The sequence below is a fragment of the Homo sapiens genome, chromosome 7 (genome assembly GCF_000001405.40).
Source record: "Homo sapiens chromosome 7, GRCh38.p14 Primary Assembly".
Lineage (NCBI taxonomy): Eukaryota > Metazoa > Chordata > Mammalia > Primates > Hominidae > Homo > Homo sapiens.
The window spans coordinates 127,075,275-127,100,023 of record NC_000007.14 but is presented as its reverse complement, the minus strand read 5'-3'; the positions used below and the strand labels follow the sequence as shown (position 1 = coordinate 127,100,023).

At 42.5% G+C, this 24,749-nt stretch overlaps 1 protein-coding gene and 1 long non-coding RNA gene across 24 annotated transcripts in view; both read left to right on the top strand.

Annotated features, from left to right (window-relative positions):
• The window catches only part of GRM8 (glutamate metabotropic receptor 8), an 814,344-nt gene that overhangs the window by 152,918 nt on the left and 636,677 nt on the right, over window positions 1-24,749 (top strand). The window lies entirely within an intron of this gene.
• On the top strand, window positions 3,548-5,129 carry LOC124901742 (uncharacterized). Its single transcript, XR_007060510.1, has 2 exons — window positions 3,548-3,589; window positions 4,165-5,129. It is a non-coding gene; the product is annotated as an uncharacterized LOC124901742 (long non-coding RNA).

Genomic DNA, 24,749 nt, shown 5'->3' with positions numbered 1-24,749 from the left:
TTGTAGATGCATCACTCCAGTCTCTGCCTCTACCATCACATGACCATCTTCTTGTGTTTATCTCTGTGTCTTCTCTTCTTATAAAAATGAAGATATATTGGAATAAAGGCCCACTCTACCCCAGTATGACCTCATCTTAACTAACTACATTTGCAATGACCCTCTTTCCAAATAAGGTCACATTCTGAGGTACTGGGTTTAGGATTTCAATGTATTTTTCTTGGGAGATAATTCAGTTCTTAACAGAGGGTGAAGAAGGGTATACTCAGAAGGTTAGCTTCCAGTGGTAGGGATGGGATTTGGGCTAGGAGGACAACAGGTTAGTAATAAGAATGAGAAGGGCTTAAGCAGACAGAATTTGGTTAATGGAGAAGCCTGTAATATAGCGAGTTCACAAATTCCTTTTGGAATGTTATGGAATTCTACTCTCCCAATCCTGATTCTTGGGTAAATGAGGTAACCTAATGGATAATTCAGGGTTCCAGACTGGGGTAAGTGATGGGATCCCAGTGTCTGTCTGGCTTTCCTAGGTAGAGCTCCCAGTAGGATCACAATAGACACTGCCAACATAGGTGTGTACCTGCTGTTCACCTGCCCCACTTTGTAATTCCAAGAAGCTTCTCTTTGATGACACCTGGAATATGACAGACATCCAGAGATTTTTTTCTGGCCTAATTTATTTTTATTTCCCCTTTTGGTCTTTTGGCCTGAGGGAAGGGAATAGCTTAGTTGCTGCTGGTTAAGACCTACGTGTTACACAACACTCAGCTATTAGATCCACAGTCCTCTATTTCTGTCTTGTTTTAATTCCTTGATATAATGTTTCATTGACATTATAATAAAGGAGTTAATAATATTCACTCATGCTTTTCCATCATAAGCTCTGGGCCTGGTGGCTCATGACTCAATAAATGACTTCCTTTAGTCTTTAGACAGGTTCCTTCCCTTCTTTGTCTTACATTATTATATTATTTTTAAAAGAAGACAGGATAATAAATGTTAATGCTACTGCTATCATTATAAGGGGCAAGGAAGCTAAAGCTTTATCTTTGAAGATAAAAGGAATATGAGAGAACATATCTTTTCATTGTAGATTTGCACAGTATGGCAGCACACCTTCTTTAATCAGTCATCATGTTTATGAATGGCTTATTGAAGATGACAGGCCTTCAAGTCATCATTGCATACATTACAGGGGGCAGAATAGACCTGATTCTGTCAAATATTCTATGTGTGTCTTTCTCCCCCTAAATTTGCAAATGCTGGAAGCTTCTGACTATTGTTTGACATGTTCCGAATATTAACATCTTAGAGTTGGAAGGGACCAGAGAGTTGTTGGGATGGCAGATTCTGTTTGAAATGTTAATGTAAGAAACCAATTTAATTAATTCATTTTTTGTGTATATAAAATGACAGTTGCCAAAAAGTTTGATAGTTTTTTTTTTGTGAGGGTCAAGCAATAAGGTAAGGAAAGTTTCATCCCTAGTGTACAATTGAAACGTGTTCACTGATCATATTTTTAATGTATCTTAGTACAGTTTTAAAATAAAGCATTTTCCCCTCTTGGGTTATAAACAAGAAGCAAGTTTCTGGTAACTGAAATGGATTCACTTTAAGATTAAAACGAAGTATTTTCAATGACAGAAAGGAAAGAATACATAAACAGCAGTGTTTCCCCTCAGATGTTCATTGCTTTGGGAAAATGACTTCCAGCAGGCAAAAGTCAATTTGAGAAAAGTATTAATGTTGTAAAATACTATGAATGAAAGGAAACAATTTAATTCAATTGAAAATTTTACTTTATATTTGTACAGCTGAGTTCCATTGATAACACCACATTTTGAGTTACAAATCATATTTAATTAATATTAACACCAGGTAATTGGCAAGAATAACTTCAAAGGAGGGCTGAGGAAATTGCAAATTGGAACTGCAGGTACAGTGATACTGTAGAAGCTTTATAGGGATCCAAAGGACATGCATATGATTTTAACAGTTATTGCAGAAGCTGATCAAATATAGTGTCATTTCAAAGCTGTTCTTCACCCCAGCCATTCCTAATATTTAGGGCTTAGTAACTGCCAAGTAGCAACAGCTGCTGTTAATATGAAACAGCAAACAGCATTCAAATAAGTGCTTTAAAACCTATGATTCTAATGCTGTAGTTAAGTTTTTAGTAAACAATGGCAGTTTGATGCAGTAGAACCAACCTTGGAGTCAAAAGCACTTCTTTAAATCCCTCTTTTTCAATTATGAGATTTTGTTAACAAGCTTCTCTGAGAATTAATTTCCTTGTCTGTAAAATGGATGCCCTGTCTGCTCAGTAATAATTCAATGATATAATTCTTGTGAATGTTCTTTATAAACTCAAAAGTGCTACTTAATATCAGGTATTACTAGTGAAAGGAATGGGGATAATACAGATTTTCCCCCAAAAGGCATAACAAAGCTGTATATTATCATAAAGATGGTAGGTATGTTGCCTGGTGTGCAGGATATTTGAAATAGCAGAGGGTTTTTGCTTGATTTGTTAATTACCTTCAATCTTAACTATATGTGGCTAAGATTCTACATGGAAGACCAGAGAGGAAGCTTTCGAATGACTCCTGACCACCTCCCCTCTCTTTTCCAGTTCTCAATGCCATCCACCCACTTCTGGGCTAAGTATTCTACCCTGTCCTGTTTTTGTCATCCTTGGTTATTGAATATTATTTGCCATGTCACCTAACAGTTGCTTCTACTTGAATGTGACCATTCAGTTGCCACTTTAAAAGGGTTGAGATTTGAGGACAAGTTTGGGGTATCTTGCCTCATCCTTAGCAATGTGCTTCCAGGGTCCCTGCGCTTAACTCTGTGGTACCACTTGCCACTCTGATTGTAGTGCTGATTTCTCTGTCAATCTTTTCTATCAGCATGTGTTTTTTCTTAGTGGAAAGATCCCCCAATATCCAGTATAGTACCTGGCATGTAACAGGCTCTTCATGAATTTCTGTTGAATGACCATTGTCACCAGATTCCTAGTTGTGTTAGTAATGTGAGTCTGGGGGTAAGGTTTGCTCAGCCTCTGGGAACCAAAGGGCAGAGCTGCTTCCAACCATGCCTTATGCATTATCTTTGATAACGCATGGGAACCTTCGGGGGTTACTGTAATGTTAAGTCACTTAGAGTTCAAGTTTTTATTGCTAGCAAATACCAAAACCTATAATCTGTAGGTTCATCCAACCCTAATCTCTTAGGCAGCACTGGGGAGTGGTTAAGAACTTCTCACTGGCTGGGTTTATGTTCCAGATTTGTCATATTGTAGCAAAGGGATCTGGGTAACTTACTTAATCATGTTGTGCCCCAATTTATTCATGTGTAGAGTGGGGATAACAATTGTATAAGAATTGGGTGAGATCATACATAACAATGTGTGGCTCATGGCTAGTGTTCAACAATGGTCAATTTGTATTTTTTTTTTTTTTTAGACCCAGTCTCACTCTGTCACTCAGGCTGAAGTGCAGTGGCATGATCTTGGCTCATTGCACCCTCTGCCTCCTGGGTTCAAGCGATTCTCCTACCTCAGTCTCCCGAGTAGCTGGAATTACAGGTGCATGCTCCCATGCCTGGCTGGTTTTTGTATTTTTAGTAGAGATAGGGTTTCACCATGTTGGCCAGACTGGTCTTGAACTCCTGACCTCAAGTGATTCATCTGCCTTGGCCTCCCAAAGTGCTGGCATTGCAGGCATGAACCACCACACCCAGCCTCAATTTGTATCTTGTAAGGAGCCCATCTACACCAGCAGGTAGCCTATGAGTGTTCTTACTGGCCTGAATATATATCCAATTTGCTCAATGAGCAAAAGGCAGCAGAGAGGCTAAGTGCTCAATTAAGGGCAGCCCATTCTTGCATTCCTGAAACTTGCTCTATACCTTAGCAGTGATCAATCTTATTGTTTCTTCACATGACTAATGTATTACCTGACATAGTGCTGGCCCATAGTTAAATACATGAATTCATGAAATACCAGTCAGAAATGGCTCACCAAATCTGCTTGCTTCCTTTTTCATTTTGAATCTTCTTAAGAATGAATCAATTCAGTGAGCATTTATAGTGCATGTGTCAGGTGATACTTGTGCTGGGCTTTGAGGATACAGAGACAAATCATGGTCTTTGCTTTCCAGCAGGTCACTGTGTTTCAGAGGAGGTGGAGATGCAAACAATTACAAATTCATGTGATCTTTGCCTCAATGGAGGCATCATTTAGAGGCATTGCCCCCAAAACACTGTGCCTGAGAGAGAGCATCCTGCAGTTCATGTAATGAAAAGACCTGGCATGAGACAGTGGAGCAGGACAGCTATGGACCCCAAACTCAAAGGAAGTACACAGTGGCATATGAGTTAAATTAATTCAGACAACTTGAGTAGAAACACAGTTTCCTAAGGAAATAAAGAATGCAAAAAGTTGAATGTAGAATATTATGCCAACTTTGTAATGTAATATATGAGAAATGTTTAATATGTGTAAAATATCTAGTGTTTGACGGTTCTTATTTCTTCCTCTATTGATGATTACTGTCATGTATTCTCTTACATGCAATCAGTGTGTGGCTTTACCTGACACTATTAGTCCCTGCTTTCCATGATCACCCCTACCCAGCATCACCCATGCCCTTGGCAGCAATTTTAATTTTGTTCAGTTCCTGGGTCTTAGCCAGGGCCAACAGCTTCCACCCAGCATCAACCCACAAGTTGCCAGGGTTTGGAATGGTTTTGTCATGATGGACCCTGTGTATGGTTGTCCTGGGGTGAACCCTGAGCCCCTCTCTGTCACTGCAAACTCACAGTGATGTCCCACCAGACATTTGACTTACACTTCAGATCCTTGGAGATGGACCCATCCCTGTATTCTGGCCTCCTGGTTTTGGACCATGACATACTACCTATTCCTTGTCAACTTTACCTGACTGGGTTGAAGGGTCTCCTCTTCTGCCTTTATTCTCACACAGCTGGTAAGGTTTGACTATGCATGAAGCCATTGAGCAGAATCCTGGCTATTGTATGGGGCCCTGACCCCCTCTAGCTTGTTGTCTTTATATTTCTCATGTTCTTTTAGTGTCATACAAATGAATAAATGTGAATTCCCAAGTATAAAGGAATTTAGCCTCAAGTGATAGTTTGAATCTCTTTCCCAGAGATTCCCGTACAAATGCTTGAAAAGGGCCAGGAGCTTCACATGAACTGTGTGGTCCCTGTTTTCAGTTATTTATTATTTTCCTGCTACCTAACTCCTATTGCCAACTGTATTAGTTTGCTAGGGCTGCTGTAACAAAGTCCCATAAACTGGGTGGCTTGAATAACAGAATTGGCCTCCACAGTTTGGGAGCCAGAAACCTGAGATCAAGGTGTCAGCAGGCTTGGATCCTCTTGAGGCTGTGAGGAGGAATCTCTTCCAGCCTCTGTCCTTGCTTCTTGTGGTTTGCTGGTGATATTTGGCATTCCTTGGCAAGTAGAAGCATCACTTCAATCTCTGCTTTCCTCTTTACATGGCATCTCCCCAGTCATGGCTGCCGGATTGAGCCCTGATTAATGAAGTTCTGTCTGACCCAAGCCCATATTTGTTCTGGTTCTTTGGGTGAATTTTGGCCCTGGGATTACCCATTTTCTCCTGAGGGATTAGCTTCTGTGATCAGAGCCTTGCCAGCTGGTCTCTGCATGCCTCCCAAGTCATGACAGGAAGTGTGCTTCTCTCCCATGCTCAGCCCCAAAGAAATCACATTCTTTTATTTTCCTTTCCAAAGTCATTTCCTTGTTAAAGCCATTGTGTTTGGAAACTCCAGCACTAGATGAGAGCTTTAAGATGCAATCTGTACTTACTGTGTTGATAGAAGAACATAATATAAAAACACCCTTCTGCAGAAATGAAGCAACATCAGAATCTATTTATGTCATTTTTTATAGGCCTTAAAAGAGTTGGCCTGAGAATTAGGAGTGTATTTTCTCAGTTTACTTCATCATGTATCAACTAAGCAACAAATATAGTTTCCTTGAAAATAAATGGCTTCATAATATAATAAAATCAGAAGGCTAGCAGATGAATAGTTGATTGAAATAGGTGCAAATTATTTCAGGGGTTACGTCCGTTGGTAGAACTGGGCTGCAGAGTCTCTGTCCTCTAGGATCTGCATGTTTGACAGACTGGGCTTTGTTCTGTGCTTTTTTCACTCTTACCTGACCAAAACCATTTCATGATTCATTGGGGGTCCCACAAGAGGAAGGCAGAGGAATGGAAAGAAAGTGAAACTCAAGTCAGCATATTTTGTTTCTTGTTAACAGCTCTGGGAAGAGATTTGGTTGGGAAAGGAATTTCAAGTAATGATTTAAACATATTTTCTGGCAGTTGTAGCAGTGAGGAAAAAAATAATCTCTCTTGTAGCAGCTCAGATACACTTCCAAGGCATTGGTACTTATGGTCATACGACTCTAGAGTTACATTTACATCATGAATCATGGCTGGCATGTGCATAACGGGCTATTAAGGGAAATAGGGTTGTTCAGAATGCATTGCTAGCCTTGTGTGTTTCATATCATGGAGGACAACCACTGTTTTCCCCTTTAAAATGTTGCTTGATGATAGTGTCAGAGGAAACTCTGCGATAGATGGAATTATTCACGTGAGCTGATATGACATTTTATTTAACAAATATTTGAGCCCCTACTGTGTGTTGGGGCCTTGTTCTAGGTGGTAGGGATATGATGCTGAATGAGTCAGACCTGCTTCCAGTCCTTGTGCAGTTTCCAGTCAAGCTTACCCTCTTTGCATTTTTCATGTCCTTGTAGTCTCAGATCTCTCTAGGCTACAGGAATTTTGCCTAAGCCTACAGAGTGAGATGCCATGAACAGAGAGTCCATGAAAAGGTAGAGATGGCCTACATCTATCATAATAACTACTTGACCCCTTGGGTGTTCTGGAGATGCTAGAGTTCACTTGAGGTGTCTGTGGCATGCTGAGGGTAGGGGTCACACATTTGAATAAGAAAGAACATGTGTGCATGTGTTTTTGTGGGCACACACAGAAGGCTAGGCCTGGACCGAGGAAGGAGCTAGGCCAGCTTGCCAGGTGCAGTTGTTTGGGAGCATTGCCAGGTGCAGGTGGCATGAAGAATTCCATTCAGGCTTATGGAGCACAGATCAGAGATGGTGGTGTTGGTGAGGACCTGAACATACTGCCACATGGCAAGAGAGTCACGCATGCCACCTCACAGCCTGGAATCCGTGCATGTCCTCTGTGTTAGTTTGGTTAACATTTTCTTTTCCTTCTTTTTTCTTTTCCCCCTGAGACAGAGTCTCACTCTGTCACCCAGGCTGTAGTGCAGTGGCACAACCTTGGCTCACTGCAATATCCGCTTCCTGGGTTCAAGTGATTCTCATGCCTTAGCCTCCCAAGTAGCTAAGATTACAGTCATGCACCACCACACCCAGCTAGCTTTTTGTATTATTACTATTTTTTAGTAGAGACAAGATTTCACCACGTTACCCAGGCTCATCTCAAACTCCTGGCCTCAAGAGATCCACCTGCCTTGGCCTCCTGAAGTGCTGGGATTATAGGCGTGGGCCACCGTGCCCAGCCAATGTTTTATTTTCTTTCTGTTCACAGTTTATTTCCAGGAAGCCTTCTCTAATCTTCATCCCCTCCTCTTCCCACCCAAGTTAGATTTCTCTTCTATGTATTCTGTCAAATGAAAACAAATCCAGACTTAGATAAGGAGGGATTTTATTCAAAAGAAAGACCATTGCCACAGAGAGAATGCTCCAACCTCAGAAATTGTCAAGTGTCACAAAATCAAAAAGAAAGAGGCTTCCATTATATAGGGTAGGGAGAGATAAGCAAAAGCTTAATTAAAATTGTAAAAGGGATTAAGCAATGGAGGGATGACCAGTGGAACGGGGGAATGACCAGTGGGATGGGGTGATGACCAGTGGGGCGAGGTGATGACCAGTGGGACGGGGGGATGACTAGTGGGATGGTGGGGGGGGTCATCAGTGGGACGGGGAATGATCAGTGGGATGGGGGATGGTCAGTGGGATGGGGGGATGACCAGTGGGATGGCGGGGATGATCAGTGGGTTGGAGGGGGAGTCATCAGTGGGCCGGCGGGGAATGATGAGTGGGCCGGCGGGGGGGTCATTGGCGGGACGGCCGGGGGGTCGCCAGCCAGACGGCGGGATGACCAGTGGGACCGCGGGGGTGGGGAGTCATCAGTGGGACGGCGGAGGGATGATCAGTGGGACGGGAGGGATGACCAGTGGGAGGAGGGGATGATCAGTGGGATGGCAGGGGGGTCATCAGAGGATCAGTGGGATGGGAGGATGATCAGTGGGATGGTGGGGTGGGTCATAAGTGGGACGGGGGATGATGAGTGGGACAGGGGAGCATGACGAGTGGGATGGGGGGATGACGAGTGGGATGGGGTGGATGATGAGTGGGATGGGGATGACCAGTGGGATGGTGGTGGGGGGGATGACCAGTGGGATGGTGGTGGGGGGATGACTAGTCATCAGTGAGACGGGGATGGTGGTGGGGGGGATGACCAGTGGGATGGTGGTGGGGGGATGACCAGTCATCAGTGAGACGGGGATGGTGGTGGGGGGATGACCAGTGGGATGGGAGGATGATCAGTGGGATGGTTGAGGGGAATGATCAGTGGGACAGGGGGATGATCAGTGGAACTGGGGGATGGCCAGTGGGATGGGGAGGATGATCAGTGGGGTATGACAGGAATTGTCCTGCTGTGGTCAGCTGATTCTCAGTGCAAGCTAATAAGGGGGCCACATTCCAGTGTTTAGTGCTTTCTCAGGCTTGGGGCCAAGTAGAATTCAGGGACCTGTAGGAAGGAGAGAATCCTGACTAAAGTTCTGTCAAGGCAAAGTAAGAGGGTAAGAGGTGAACCACTGTGAACACTTGGTCAGTTTCTGAGGTCCCATGCAGACATCTTACCACTTTTTAAATTATTCCCTTCTTTTTCTTCAGAGGTGGAAAGCATACCACAGACATCTTTCATTAGCACTGTAGCTGCACTGTCTAGAAGATAATCTGAGAGTGCTTGTTGAATGAAGGAATAGATGGACATGGCAGGTGAGTGCATGCTGGAGACAGGACATCAGGAAGTAGGTAGCTTGGAGAAAGTCAGATGGCGTGGCTAACAGTCCACATAAAAATTGTTCTGTAGCAGAGGATGGGACCCTGCCCTAGGGTCAGGGCTCAGCATCTCATTCTGTTTAGCAACAGTTGAGAGACATGGGATCTGGGTTCTGGGGCATGCCAGTGCCGCAACCGGAGGGCACATGGGAAGGAAGGAGAGCCGGGAATCAGAATTAGGGACAGGTTTCAGTTGGGAAACAGAAGCAGTAGCTTAAGTACATGATAGCAGGATTGACACCCAGGTTGCTAAACTTGAATCTGAAAACCAGAACCAGATAGTAGATCTACCATTCTTAGATTAAGAACCAGAGATCTGCTATGTCAGACAAATAGAGTGGATGCAAAATCAGAAGTAGATAAATCTGATGAATATATTATTCCTCTTTCAATTGGTTTGGAATGTTCCAGGTATGTAACATGAGATGTGAGTCATGACTGCAAGATGTCCTAAGGTCTAAAGCTTCTGCTATTGAGTCATGACTCCAGGCCCTGATGAACTTGCTTATTCACCATTCATTTAACACATAATTGGTACCCAAATGAAGTTCCAAGAACTTGTTAGGTGCTGGGAATTTACAGATCTGGTAAAAGCCTTTGAAGGGATTTGATTTGGAGAGATATGGTACAGTTGAGGTACGTGTGCAGAAACTGGATTGCAGGGTCAAGATGGAAGCAGAAGATTAGTTAGAAATCTATTGTGTGTCTCCAGGCAAGAGCTGGGATTGGCTTGGACTGGAGTGGGAATGAGGGCCAGAAGCAAGTTGGTATTGGCACAAGTGGTCACAAGGTCCCAGGCATGGAGGATGGGAATCACTTGATGCTGTGGGGATCTATGCCATTGAAACAAAACTCATTTAAGACATCTTGGCCAACCGCAGTTTGTGTCCTGGAGCCCTTAGATTGGGATGGGCATGTGCAGAATGACTATGTGGCTCCCCAGAAAGAATCCCACAGAGAATGATGCAGAGATGGGACATCAGATGAATTATTTCCTGGCAAAATTCCACTCAAGACTCAGCATCAATGATACTTCCTTAGTGAAGGCTTCCTGGGTTCCCTTAAGTAGTGTTAGATGAGCTCTATTCTGTGATTGCAACACTGTGTGTGTACCTTTAGTAAAGAAAGCATTTGTTTTACTGTCTCAGACAGGACTTAAATGTAAGCCTATGAGGCAATTTAGGGTACAAAAACTTAAAACAGTATAGGAGTAAATCTGACTTCTCAGGCAGGGTTAGCTCCACATTTTAAAATGAAGTCTACAGGAATGTGTCTTGCTCCAGCTCTGGGCTCTGCTTTCTGGTGTGCTGGCTATATGCTTAGGTTTTGCCCATGTGGTGGGAAGATGGCCACCAGCAGCTGTAGGCTTGCATACTGCCAGCTTAGTAACTGTATTCATTTCCCAGAGCTGCCTTAACAAATCACCACACACTGGGTGGCTCAAAACAACAGAAATTTGTTCTCCCACAATTGTGGAGCCAGAAGTCCAAAATCAAGGTGTAGGCAGGGCTGGCTCCTTACAGAAGCTCTGAGGGAGGATCTGCTCCATGCTTCTCTCCTCGGTTTTGGTGGCTGCCAACAATTCTTGGCATCCCTGCCTTGTAGCTGCATAACTCCAGTCTCTGGCTTCATTGTCACATCACCTTTCTCTCTGTGTATTTGTTATTTTCTCCTTTTCTGTCTCTTATAAGGACACTTGTCATTGGATTTAGGGCTCACTCTATTCTAAGATGATCTCATCTCGAATTCCCTACTGCAGTTATGTTTGCAAACACCTTATTCCAGATAAAGTCACATTCTGAGGCTCCAGGTGGACATATCTTCTGGGGTGATATAGTTCAACCCAATACAGCACCTTTAGTGGAAAGGATGTGCTTCGCTTCCAATTGTGTCCGCAGAAGTCCAAGGCTTGGCCCCCACTGTACAAGAAGTGACAGTTCATCACTCAAGCAATCACTGTGGCCTGGGGAAGGTGCTATTCACTTTAGCCATGCATGGGACATATGCCCATTTCTGGAGCTGGGGAGAGAAAGCTGGGGTGAGCTCCACTTGAAACATATGGTCAAAGCCACAGAGAGGTGTCATTTCTTAAAGCTAAAGTGTGATGCTCTCCTACAACAAGAAGAAGAGCTGCCTGGCAGGTGAACCACACAGATGTCCATTGCACATGCTGTATGGTGTCAGTCCATTGACACCACTGCGTTCTACGTAGACTGTAACTTTCTCAGGGGAATTAGCAACCTGGTCTTATTCATCAGTGCCCAGGGCATGAAAGAGCTCTATCAACATATGTTAAATTCAGTTACAGTAGCCAAAATTCCCCTGAAAAATAGGATCTAAATGTAACCATGCATCATAATATTCATCAGAAATAGTTTTGGCTTTCATCTAAATGACAACAAAGCAGTTTCAAGGACAAGAAAAAGCTTCTGTTAGAGCATTCTCCCCAGCTTTGTAAAGGCTCTCCATTCTGTGCTGCCTTCACCAACCCTAGTGTGTTGGCAACCAAAGGAATTAACCCAGGGCCTTCATGGTTATTGAGAGGAACCACATCTACCTACACATTAGTTATCTGTGGCAGAATGCAGACTTCACTCACCACCACCACCACCAATTGAGTCCAGTCAGTGAAAATAGCACATATTGCATACCAGCTAAAGGGCTTCCCTAACAGGACTTCTCACTAATGGGTCACTCTGACCACTAGCTAATTGGATGGCAATCAGAGGAGCCCTGGCAAAAAGGAGAGAAATAGACATTTTGTTTGACTGTCATAAACATGGCTGAGTCCTCTATTTTTAAAGAAAATATTTTATTTCTTTTTATGGTTTCTAAATTATTTTTCATTTCCTCATTTAAAAAATGGAATTCCATGTGTGATTGTCAGGAAGCATGGAAGCCTTGTTTGTACTGTGAATCGTGAAGCAGGCAAGGCACTCTGGGGGAGCCCTATTATTGAGCACTGACTTTTAAAATGTCAATGTAACTGGTATATGTGATAGGTGAGACTCCACAGTACCACTTCTTTATTTTAAAATTTTAAATTTTTAGATTCTTCATTTTTTTATTTCATTTTATTATGGTAAAAAGTCTTAAACATAAGCTCTATTCTTAACTAATTTTTAAGAGCATGCTGCATTAGTGTTTACTGTGGGTGCAGCGTTGTACAGCAGATATCTAGAGCTTATTCATCTTGCTTGACTGAAACTGTTTGCCCATTGATTAAATAACTCCCCATTTTTCTCTTCCCATAGTTCCTGGCAACCATCATTCCAGATTTTGATTCTATGAACTTAGCTATTTTAGATACCTCATATAAATGGAGTCTTGCAGTACTTGTCTTTCTGTAATGGGCTGATTTCACTTAGCGTAATGTCCTCAAGGTTTGAGTTTTGTTTTTGGAAACTTCTTAATTTTGCCTCTTCCTACTGATTTTACACCTGTGAAGTCTAGGATTCTCCCACCCCCATCTGGAAGGTATATTGGTCTCATACTCTTCGTTCTCTATTCACTTCTAAATATATGAAAAGTCTCATTTCAGTTATTAAAATGTCCAGTCCTGTGTAATAAAACTGAAATTCAGCCAAACTGAAAGTTTCTCCCCTCCCACAGCTTGGTGTTGCTCTAAGCTGGAACCCTGCAGTGGAGAAGGGCCTGGGACTGAGGCTGGTTTCTTCTCTGCTGCTCCTTTTTCTCTTTTTCTCCTGCCCCAGCTGCAGGTCCTGTGTTAATGTCCTGTCACAGTTAAGGAAGCACCTAGCAGCAAAGGCATTCCTGGTGTCAGGTGTCATAGTACCTGTCCTTAACTGGAGGTGCTCTCCTTTCCACCCTTATTTATTTTTTCCTTGGAGAAACTTTAGTTTTCTCCCCAGCTTTTGGCATCGAGCCCTCCCTGTGGGCCAACATATGCTTCAGGTCTTTATCTCAGCAGCATGAACTTGTGAGTTCAGCTTTTCTCTCCCTTGCTGGTAAACAACAAGCTGGAGGGAGGACTTGATTAATGAAGGTGGAACAAGAGCAGAACTCTGGTTTCTTTTATTTATGCTAAAACAGGAGATGTCCCTTGGTCACATTCCATAAGATGCACTGCACCCTGGCTATGGGCACAATGCTGTGATAGGCACTGGAGACGGACACAACAGTTGCCCTTCAAAGTTTAGAGCCAAGATGAGAAAATAATTGCTAGATATACACACATAAACTATGCAGGTGCAGAGGTTGAGGTGACTGGTTCCAACCAGGGACATTATGGGAGGGCTTTATGGAGGGGAAGCTTGGGCTAGGTACTGAAGGAAGGGGAGGTGCATGTAGACAGAGACCAGGGAAAGAGATAAAGGCATTTAAGACAATGTGTGCTTCACTGAGTTAAAGACTTTCATTGATGACTGCTCAAGATTGCTTCGGAATTTGGATACATAGCTTTCTGAATTGTTTAAAAAAATACTGGGCCAGGCGCAGTGGCTCACGCCTGTAATCTCAGCACTTTTGGAGGCCGAGGCAGGCAGATCACGAGGTCAGGAGATCGAGACCATCCTGGCTAATATGGTGAAACCTGGCCTCTACTAAAAATACAAAAAATTAGATGGGTGTGGTGGCGTGTGCCTGCAGTCCCAGCTACTTGGGACGCTGAGGCAGAAGAATCGCTTGAACCCAGAAGGTGGAGGTTGCAGTGAGCCGAGATCATGCCACTGCACTCCAGCCTGGGTGACAGAGCGAGACTCCATCTCAAAAAACAAAACAAAACAATCAAAAACAAACCAAAAACTTTGCTTCCTCTGGCATGAATGCCTTTGTTTTCTTCCTCACTTCGATTTTATGATCCAGAGGGCCCGCTCTATTGACAATAGGTATGTTTCCAATATTCTTGATATGCATACTCAAGATAGATTAAAGACTTAAATGTAAGACCTAACACCATAAAAACCCTAGAAGAAAACCTAGGCAATACCATTCAGGACATAGGCATGGGCAAAGACTTCATGACTAAAACACCAAAAGCAATGGCAACAAAAGTGAAAATAGACAAATGGGATCTAATTAAACTAAAGAGCTTCTGCACAGCAAAAGAAACTATCATCAGAATGAACAGGCAACCTGCGAATAGGAGAAAATTTTTGCAATCTACCCATCTGACAAAGGGCTAATATCCAGAATCTACAAAGAACTTAAACAAGTTTACAAGAAAAAACAACCCCATCAAAACGTGGGTAAAGGATACGAACTGACACTTCTCAAAAGAACACATTTATGCAGCCAACAGACATATGAAAAAATGCTCATCATCACTGGTCATCAGAGAAATGCAAATCAAAACCACAATGAGATACCATCTCACGCCAGTTAGAATGGCGATCATTAAAAGGTCAGGAAACAAATGCTGGAGAGGATGTGGAGAAATAGGAATGCCTTTACACTGTTGGTGGGAATGTAAATTAGTTCAACCATTGTGGAAGACAGTGTGGTGATTCCTCAAGGATCTACAACTAGAAATACTATTTGACCCAGCGATCCCATTACTGGGTATATACCCAAAGGATTATAAATCATGCTACTATGAAGACACATGCACACGTATGTTTATTGCGGCACTATTCCCAATAGCGAAGACTTGGAACCAACCCAAATGTCCATCAGTGACAGACTGGATTAAGAAAATGTGGCACATATACACCATGGAATACTATGCAGCCATAAAAAAGGATGAGTTCATGTCCTTTGCAGGGACGTGGATGAAGCTGGAACCATCACTCTAAGCAAACTATCACAAGGACAGAAAACCAAACACTGCATGTTCTCACTCATAGGTGGGAATTGAACAATGAGAATACTTGGACACAGGGCAGGGAACATCACATACCAGGGTCTGTCAGTAGGTGGAGGGTTGGGCGAGGGTTTGCATTAGGAGAAACACCTAATGTAAATGACCAGTTGATGAGTGCAGCAAACCAACATGGCACATGTATACCTAAGTAATGAACCTGCACATTGTGCACATGTACCCTAGAACTTAAAGTATTTAAAAACAAAAAACAACCTGTGGTCTTTCCTTCCACCAGCCTTCAGTAGCAGTGACTCCTGCACTGACACCACCAGTATGAGTGGGTAAGTTAGTGATGGGACAGAAACACTTCTCAAGATCTTCAGGCTTGGCCAAGGTGAGTGAGGCTTAGAATCACTGTCTCCCTCAGTGATGATCTACTCTGCCTTTCTGTAGATGTGACACAATTGTGCCATGGCTTAATTTTATTGACTTATAGAATCTAAGGCTTATTACAACCTCATGTCCCCCATGTTGTCAATGGTCTTGTGTCCACAGAGAACTGTAACATTAATCTATAATGAAGGTGCTCTGTGGTTTTATGTGTTATTTATAATAACAAACATGGTTTATAGTGTATCTAATGCCCCTTCGTCTACTCCCACATTTCAGGTACTCAAATGCATAGCTGTTGGAGATAGCAAGAGGACTACATTTTTACTTATTTTCTTAAAATATTCCAACTCCTATTCTGTTTTGTGTTTAAAAATTCTAGTGTTTGCAAATATCTTGAAGGAACAGCCTAGCCTCGCTCTATTTTTAATATTCTACCAATCCATTCTGCCTTGCCCACCAACTCTGTTTAGAGGTTGAGAAACATCTTTTTAACTCCTAAAAGATCAAAAATATCTTATCAAAACTCTTCCCAAGGAAAAGTAGACCTACTTGCTATTTTTAGGCACCTTCAATGATTTTTAAGCCCCGTATTACATTATGAGATACTAAGTACTTTTTTCCCTCACTAAGGGAGCAGATAAGCCACAAATGTATTCTCTAGAAGTTTGTATCTCTGCTAAGGTCTCCAATACATGTATGAAGTACTTGTTCTCATATTTCCGGGTAGTATGTTGTCAGGTGTTCAGGTTCCCCAAATGAACAGAACATAGCACTGTCTCCTAGGGATTTATAGTCTAGAGGGGGTGTTACTTACAGTGGTTGGTAAATTCTGTACTGAAGCTCTGGAAGGACAGGGATGAAGGTACTTTATTTTGCCCAGAGATATCAGGAAACACTTTCAGACAATAATGGTGTTTGAGCCGATTTTGGGGGAAAAGGGAGCAGCATTCCTTTTGTGAAAGAGGGGGGCAGCATTTGCAAAAGTTTAGAACCAAGGAAGGGTAATGGCAATTTCAAGGAAGCAGATTTTGTTGTTGTTGTTGTTGTTAGGTAGGATGCAAGGAGTATGGGGGCTTAGGAAAGGGATGATGGGGGGACCTTGTTTTTAAACCAAACTAAGGAGGTAGGGCATTTGAAGAATTATATAAAGGGCAGCAGCGTGACCAGATTTGTGTTTGAGGGAGTTCCTTCTGATGGTAGGCTGAAAGATGAATGGAGAGATTCAGTCCATCTGTAGGCAGCAGGTTGAGTTAGTAGGGTGTTGCAATAGTCCAAGCAATGAATAACAAGGTCCTAAATAAAGCTGTGGTTGCAAGGATGGAGATGAGGTGACTAGTAGGAAGACCTTTAAGAAGTAGAATCAAACAATTGCAAGCAATGGGGTATACAGAGTGAGGGAGAAGGAAGAGGCAGGGATGGTGCTCAAAGTTTTGGCTTTGGCACCTAGGTGAATAATTATATTATCAACGAAAGTGAGGAAAACAAAAAGAAATGCTTTGAGGTGAACTAATATTTTAAAAAATATTATTGAGTACCTTGTTCTGTTAAGTGCACAAGTGTGATGGTTGATTTTATGTGTCAACTTATCTGGGCCAAGTTGCACAAGGTATGTGGACAAATATTATTTTGGATGTTTCTGTGATTCTTATCCCATCAGGTGAAGGACTGAACAGAAGTTTGACCTTCCCTGAGCAAGAGGGAATTCCTCTTGGTTGTGTTTCTGTGGAGAACCCTGACTAAAGCAACAGGCTTTGAGGCCATGCTGCCTGGGTTCCGATCCCGCTCTGGCACTTGCCTAGTGACATCACTGCGTGACTATGTTAGACAAATGATTTCTCCAAGCCCCACCTGCCACATCTGTAAACAAGGTTAACAATGTTCTTGACTTCCTATGGCTTTTGTAATGATTAAAAGAGAAAACCCATGTAAAGTTTTAAGCTTAGGATCCAGCATGCAATAAGCTTTTAAGAAATGTTTGCCATTATTATTATAATCGAGGAAACATTTACGCAGTAGTGTTAATGACTAATAACAGCTAAGATTGTTACTTTCCCAGGAGAGATTTATGTCATAATAGGGATCAGAGTTTTCCATTAGAAGAATGGAAACTTCCATTAGCCTCTTAGCTTAATGCTTTGCACATTGAACTAATAGGTAAATATTCATTGACTGGTCGAATTATTTCCTGGTATCATTGAGTGGGATTGAGAACTAAAGCAGGTTAAGAAGGGAGAAACTGAGGCCCAGAGACATGAATAACTTAATAAAGATCATAGAGTGAGTTACAAGGAAAGACTAGCACCAGGGACTCAGGTTTCCTTGTTCCTGGTCTATTGGAACAAGGAAGCCCACCCCTGAATCCATACCACATAACCAATCCCCAGGCTGCCACACCAGCCCTGGCAGAATGGACTACATTTTATATCCCCTTTGGCAAAATCCCTAAAGAGCTTATTCCTGAACAGACCAAAATATATAAAGGCATTGTATTTTTTAATTAAATAAAAATGTTTTCAGGATTATCAGCCCATGTGAATATGGAATGAAAGAAGGCAAAGAGCGGTATAGTTTGTTCTCTTCCTTTTCTGGTGAGCATCTGCAGGAGCAGTGTGGGCTCAGTGTGTACCCACTGACTCTGTGTTCACTCTCCCTTGAATCCCCTGCCACTAGACTTCCTCTCTACTCACTCTGGTGAAATTACTATTACTTTCTTAGAGGTTCTTTCTGAGGCCAAGTCCAAGGCCTTTTCCTGGCTTCCTTCCTTCTTGACCCCTTTGCATCCTCCAGCACTGCTGATACCTTCAGAAATTGTCTCCTTTATCAGCACTCAGAATTCCTTCTCCCATGCTTCTCTCTCTGCACCTTTACCTCCTCCCACCCGTGATGGTGAATATTTCTAAAGAAACTGTTCTTGGCAATCTCATACAAGCTTTCAGTTTCAATTGTCGTCTCTATGCTGATGACTCCCCAAATGATATCTTCAGTTCTGATGTCTCATCTGAGCTCCAGACTCACACTCTCTCATTCATATTCATTTGCTCTCCCTTTTTCCCTCTGCCTCCTCCCTCCCCTTCTGGCCCAGGCACAGTACTAGGTGTGGGGGTTTACCCATGAAGGCCACAGTTTCTAACTTCGGGTTCCAGGTTAGTGGGAGAGAGACAGGCATTAACTCACCCAATTACAGCACTTCTGACAATTTGAAAAATACAGGGCAAAGATGTACCTAAGGTTCTGTGGGAACACAGGTAAAGTAAGGTTACTAATGTTTCACTCTCTCTGGGTAGGGGTGATGCCAGGTGTGGCTCCATGAAGCCAATATCTGCATTGCATTGTGAATAATGAGAAGGTGTTAGTCAGGTAAAAGGGCTCTAGGGACCATCCTGCTCTACTGCACAGGGATGGAGAAGGCAAGCATGTGTTTGCAATGGCAAGCTGTTCAGTGTGACTGGGGCACAGGATACATGGAGTTCAGGGTGGAGGCAGGTGGGGGAAATGGGGTATGAGAGAACAGGCTGTTCTGGGCAAAGGCTAGCCCAGAAAGGACCTTTCGTGCTATTCTAGGGATTAAGTGTCTGCTAAACATCTCTAATTAGAATCTCATTTCTATATTCTCTGACACCGAAATCTTCTCCCTTAAATATCGCTGCTGACCATATTAAATTTGAGCTAACAAGGGGATACTGAATGATGAATGTTTTGTTTATAGAATGCGTTTATTTTTGGTAAAGGGAAGAAAGGTTGCTTTTGATGGCAAGCAGGAAAGAGCCATCCCAAAACTAGCTTAAATAATGAGTGCATTTTTCTTCCTATATAGCAAGAAGTCTGGAAGTGTGTTGGCTGGTTGTGTCCCTCTGCAAACAAAGGCAGCGAGGATCCAGCTCCTTCCCACTGTTCTGTGCTTCTACCCTTAGCATGTGGTCTTTCTTATCAGTCAGCCCTCATTGTCTCCTGGTAGCAGGTCCAGGGATCACAAGTAAATGGTGACATCTATAGAAAAACAAAGGGAAGTTTGTCTTAAAATGAATCTCTCCATTTTTTTTTTTAAGAGCCAAAAAGCCTCCAGAGACTTCCAGGGGACGCTTATATCTCCTTGGCCAGAATTCAGTCACATGCCTACTTTTAAATTAATACCTGGGAAAGGAGTGAGATTACAATGACTGAGTTAGACTATACATTCTCAGTGGTGGCAGAATTGCCACCGTGGTGACCAAAATTGGTTCTTGGGGATGGGGGATGTGCTAGTTTCCTATGCTGCTATTACAGATGACCACAAATCTAGTGGCTTTAAACAAGATAGATTTATTATCTTTCATTTCTGGATGTTAGAAGCCCAATAATTAAGGGCTGTAATTAAGGTGTGTTAATTATTCAGCAGAGCTGTGCTCCTTTCTTAATCTATTTTGCTCTGTTTTCCAGCTTCCAGAAGCTGCCAGCATTCCTTGGCTATGGTCCCCTTCTATCTTCAAAGCCAGCAATGATCAAGCGAGTCTTTTTTTTATGATGACCTTTCTCATTTATGACTCCTCTGCCTCCCCCTTCCCAATTTAAGGACCCTTGTGGTTACAATGGGCCCACCAGAATCATCTGGGATCATCTTCCTGTCTCAAATTCAGCTGGATAGCTACCTTAGTTCCATTTGCAACCTTAATTTTCCTTTGCAGTGTAACCTACCATATTCACAGGTTCCAGAGATTAGAATGTGGATGTCTTTATGGGGCTGTTTTTCTGTGTACCACAGGGACAAAAATAATCTTAGGTGTTACAATCGTTTATGTTCCTCCAAAGGACATTGTATCTGTGGAATTAAACTTTTACAGGATGGGGACGGAGGTTTGGGAGTACTTAAGGAAAAAAAAATACCTACGAAGTCTCCATTGGGGGCCTTTTTGTTTGATAAATACTGGGTATAACTAACTAAACTGAGATTCACCAGTTGGGCTCTGGCAGGGCCAATGTATCCCGAGGCAAATGGCCACTGCCAACCAGTAGTCCCTGAGGAAGAAAAAAGGGGAAACAGCTACTGGGTCTACAGTAGGTAGGATTTGCTCTAGGGGAGTTGTTTGAAGCTGAGGCAGGGTAGAGAAAGGGTAATCGGCTGGCATGAACTTTGGCAGGGAAGATGTCATGCAAAATCCAGTTGGTTTCTGTAGCTGTTAGCTTTTCCTCACTGCTATTTTCTATTTGTTTTTATCTTTAAATAAAGGAAATGATGAAATATCTATCCTTAGAAGGCATCAAAGTTTGATTGTCATTAACTTTAAAAAATACACGGCTGGGCGTGGTGGCTCACGCCTGTAATCCCAGCACTTTGGGAGGCTGAGGTGGGTGGATCATCTGGGGTCAGGAGTTCGAGACCATCCTGACCCATATGGTGAAACCCCAACTCTACTGAAAATACAAAATTAGCCAGGCGTGGTGATGGGTGCCTGTAATCCCATCTACTCGGGAGGCTGAGGCAGGAGAATCACTTGAACCTGGGAGGCAGAGAGGTTGCAGTAAGCGGAGATCATACCACTGCACTCCAGCCTGAGAGACAGAGCAAGACTCTGTCTCAGAAAAAGAAAGAAAGAAAAAAGAAACACAAAGCCCACATGTATATATAAATAAATGTCATTGCCTAATACTTCAATTATGCTTATATATCATGGTTGGATGGCTTGATGTAACAGTATCTGGAAGATGAGATCAAAATTATTGATTAGAAGTGTTAAGTTGAAATTTCCTATTTCTTTCATACATCCTTTTCCTTATAGATGAATGTCAATTTTTCTTTCTCACCAACCGATTGTTTATCTAGAAGTTACTATTTGAAATTCTATTACTTAATGAAGTGCTTACAAAGCTTTGGAAAATTACTCCTAATTCTAAAATAATTATACCACGTATCCTTAGTCAAGAAAAATTGGCATTTATGTGTGCTTTAGCAATATTTAGATAGGCTGTTACATTTCTTCCTTTAAAATAGCCCTGATTGCAATGCAAATTGAAAGCTGTGATGCCATCACTGAAAACTGGGATGGGGACCATCTTCTCAGGTTGATATCCTCTGTCGACAATGGGTGTCTCTAAGAGCCATGTTGAGTCATCTTTGGATCTTCACACTAAGTGTGGTCTTTTCAACCAAGGCTGTACCGTGCATCATCATATAGTCATCCCCATGACATTTGTACCTTCTCTAACAAGAGTTATGATTGCCCTCAGCTATCATGATAATCGCCACTCTTCTGTCAGGCTTGATACTAAGATTGGAGGAGCTGCTCTGAAGATTCAGTTTCATTCTACAAGGATTATTAAACACCAATTCTATGCCAGGAACTGTGCTAGAGGAGCTAAAAGGGAATGATCTATGCTGCTAAGCGGCTATGGTCTAACAAGGTAGACGGATGGTAGGACGGTGGTGTGTAAAAAGTGTCATGAAAGCACAGATGGAGGAGTGGAAAGAGGGACCAGGAAAGGCTGCCAGGGGAGGTGACATTCCATCTGGATCTTGTTAGTGCAACCGAAGTAAGAAAATGCTATTTTAAACTATTGCCACGTTCTAAGGAGGGTGGAAAGAATTTGGATATGCCTAGGACTGTAGTTGGTATTTGAATAGACATGGCTATAGCCAAGTCACTATAGATCAGGGTTTCCCAACCTACAGCCTTCTCAACTCTGTGACATTTGAGGCCAGATAATTTGCTGTTGTAGGACCTGTCCTGTGCATTGCAGGATGTTTACCAGCATCCCTGGCCTCGACCTACTACATGTCAAGTTCCGGTACCTCCTCACTGAAACAACCAAAAATGTCTTGAGATATTGTTAAATGTTCCCCCGTGAACAAAATCCCCTCCAGTTGAGAGTTGCTACTTCTAAGTAGTAGAACAAGAAGGATACAGAATCTCAAGCAATCTTGAAAGGAGGAGAAAGGGGGAGCAAGATAATGAGAAAGAAGAGTAAAAATAAGTTAAGAAGATGGTAAAACTTGAGTTACCAAGGGGGTTGTTACCTGGCAGAGAACGTAATTAAAAAATGGGCATGTCTACTGGTCAGTTCGAAGTGGTTTGTTTTAATGCAAACTGACTCTATATCTCATACTCTCGTATTCACAGTGGCCCTGTGTGGGTGGTTTTTATTTTGTTTTGGTTAGGAGTCTTTGGAAGGGGTTTGATTTTCACATATGATATAGGACAGAGAATGTCACCTTCACCCCAGTAGCTAGGCTATAACTAGAACTTGTGTTAGAAAAGGAGCTTAGAAGCACACAAGGCTGGAACCTGCTCTGGAAATCACAGCAATTTGGGGGAAGTTCATGGATGCACATGAAGAACAAATTAAGGTTTAGGGGAATACAGTTTAAATTTCAAGGAAGGAAGAGATTCTGGTTGAGATCTGGGTTACATGGGAAAGAACAAGCCAGTTAGAGAAATATTACTTATGAAAACTCCTGACATTTGCTTGGCTGAACACCAGAGAGAGGGCTAGAGTGAATACCTGGGCTCTCTGAAGACCTCTTGAAGCTCTTATTCCAGCACAGTTGCCCTGCTCAGCACAGATACAGACACATACTCACACAGACACATCTGCACACACACTCCATTGAAGACCTGGACTTAGGAAAATAATATGGAAATAATATGGGACACACAGTAACGAAGGCTATAAAGGGAGAACAGCACATACATATGGGGTGCAGGTAGTGGTCGAAGGATTGGACTGGCTCACCCTTGGGCTCTGTGTGACCCTGGAAGTCATTCCATCTCTCTGGACTTTAGTTTCTTCCTCATTAATGGCTTTGATTGGCCTAAATTGTCCACTGTTTAACCACAGACAGCTCTAAAATACTGTGAATCCCTGAGAATGATAAGGCATAACTGACGTGACTTCTGTTCTCCACTTGGGCAGTCCTTACTTAGAAGGGCATTTGTTTATAGAGTTTGAGCCAGACCAGCCCAATGAATGCCAAAGCCAGTTTTGGAATGGACACGATGGCCAAGAGCAGAGCAAATGGCCCTGTAACAGCTTGGGGCTCTAGTCAGCCACCAGATTCCTGGGCGGTCCCTACCAGGTCTTGCTCTTCAGGGACTCCTTAAAGGGCATTAAGATCTGGGTGTCGTCATTGGAGGAAACTTAAGGAATAAAAGAGAAGAATGGAGGAAACTTAGGAATAAAAGAGAAGAATGGGAAACCACTTCCACGTCAGGCGCTAATCCTCCTGAGCAGCTTCCTGCCTCATCCCAGCCTTGGGGACTCTCTCTGTTCTTTCTGCTTTCCTGGGCTCAAAGCCTCACTCCTTTTAGTAACTATTCATTGCTGATAATGATGAATGAAAACTGACCTTCTCCCCCAGATACTCTGAGTGTTTGCTGTGCTCTCAAGATGGATCTGAACATGGAACAGAAATAGAGGGCTTCTGTTTAATGTATATTACAGCATTAAAAGTCTATTTGCCTCATTTTTCTTTCCTTGTCCTCAGGTTATCCATCCCTGTTTGGGATTCAGGGCTGCCTTCATGAATGTTTTGCTATACTATGTCAAGTTGTTTACCAATTTCTGCTTCTAATGCAGCTGTCAGATGCTCAAACTGTCTATTAGTCGAAGAGGCTCTCTACTGACCACCTTTCTCAAGTTTCTTCTTCTTACATACAATGTTTTTGACAAGACTAAGCATATCAAACCATCTTTTAACAATTGTAAAGCCTAATATTGGCCAGCATACAATTCAATTCATTAAACATTGTAGCACTGTCTCTGTGTCAGGCCTTCTGCTGGGTGCTCTTGGGTGGTATAAAGGTGAATAAGATAGGGAGTCATTCGCCTAACTAATGCTACCCTTGTCAGTGAAACTGGTGGGAGCTTGGGAGACAGGTATGGGTGAGCAGGCTGTTTTGCCCTCTTTCTTTCAGGATCCCAGTGAACATTAGCCCAACCAGGTGGTTAGTGCTGGCTATTCACATGCCTTCCTCTCCCTCCCCCAATAATGGGAAGAATCCCCTTGGCAGGTGGCTCAAAAACAGGTCTGGACTATGTCATAAATTAGATTCAACAGCTTCTTGGCTGGCTTCGTAGGCCACTACTACTCCCTCCACATTATCCCATTCAAAACCAAAGAAGGTAGATTTATATCATGGATAATAAGACAAGTGTCCTTATTTATTCCTGATTTCTCTGTTGTTAGATGTACCTCCCCCCGACCCCCTGCCCCACATATACTTCGCCCTGACTAAAAGTTTAAAATTCCAACTAAAACTAATTTATGAATGCATTTATCAAGTAAATATTTTAGTGTATTTCTATCAATTTTATTTTTTGTAATCACTTCCATTTTACTAAACTATGAATATAGCCAAATTTTCTGTAGTGGTCCATTAGCTAAGTAATTGTGGGAAATATGTAATTATAAAGGACTTAAAGTAATGCTACATTTTGTGGAAAACA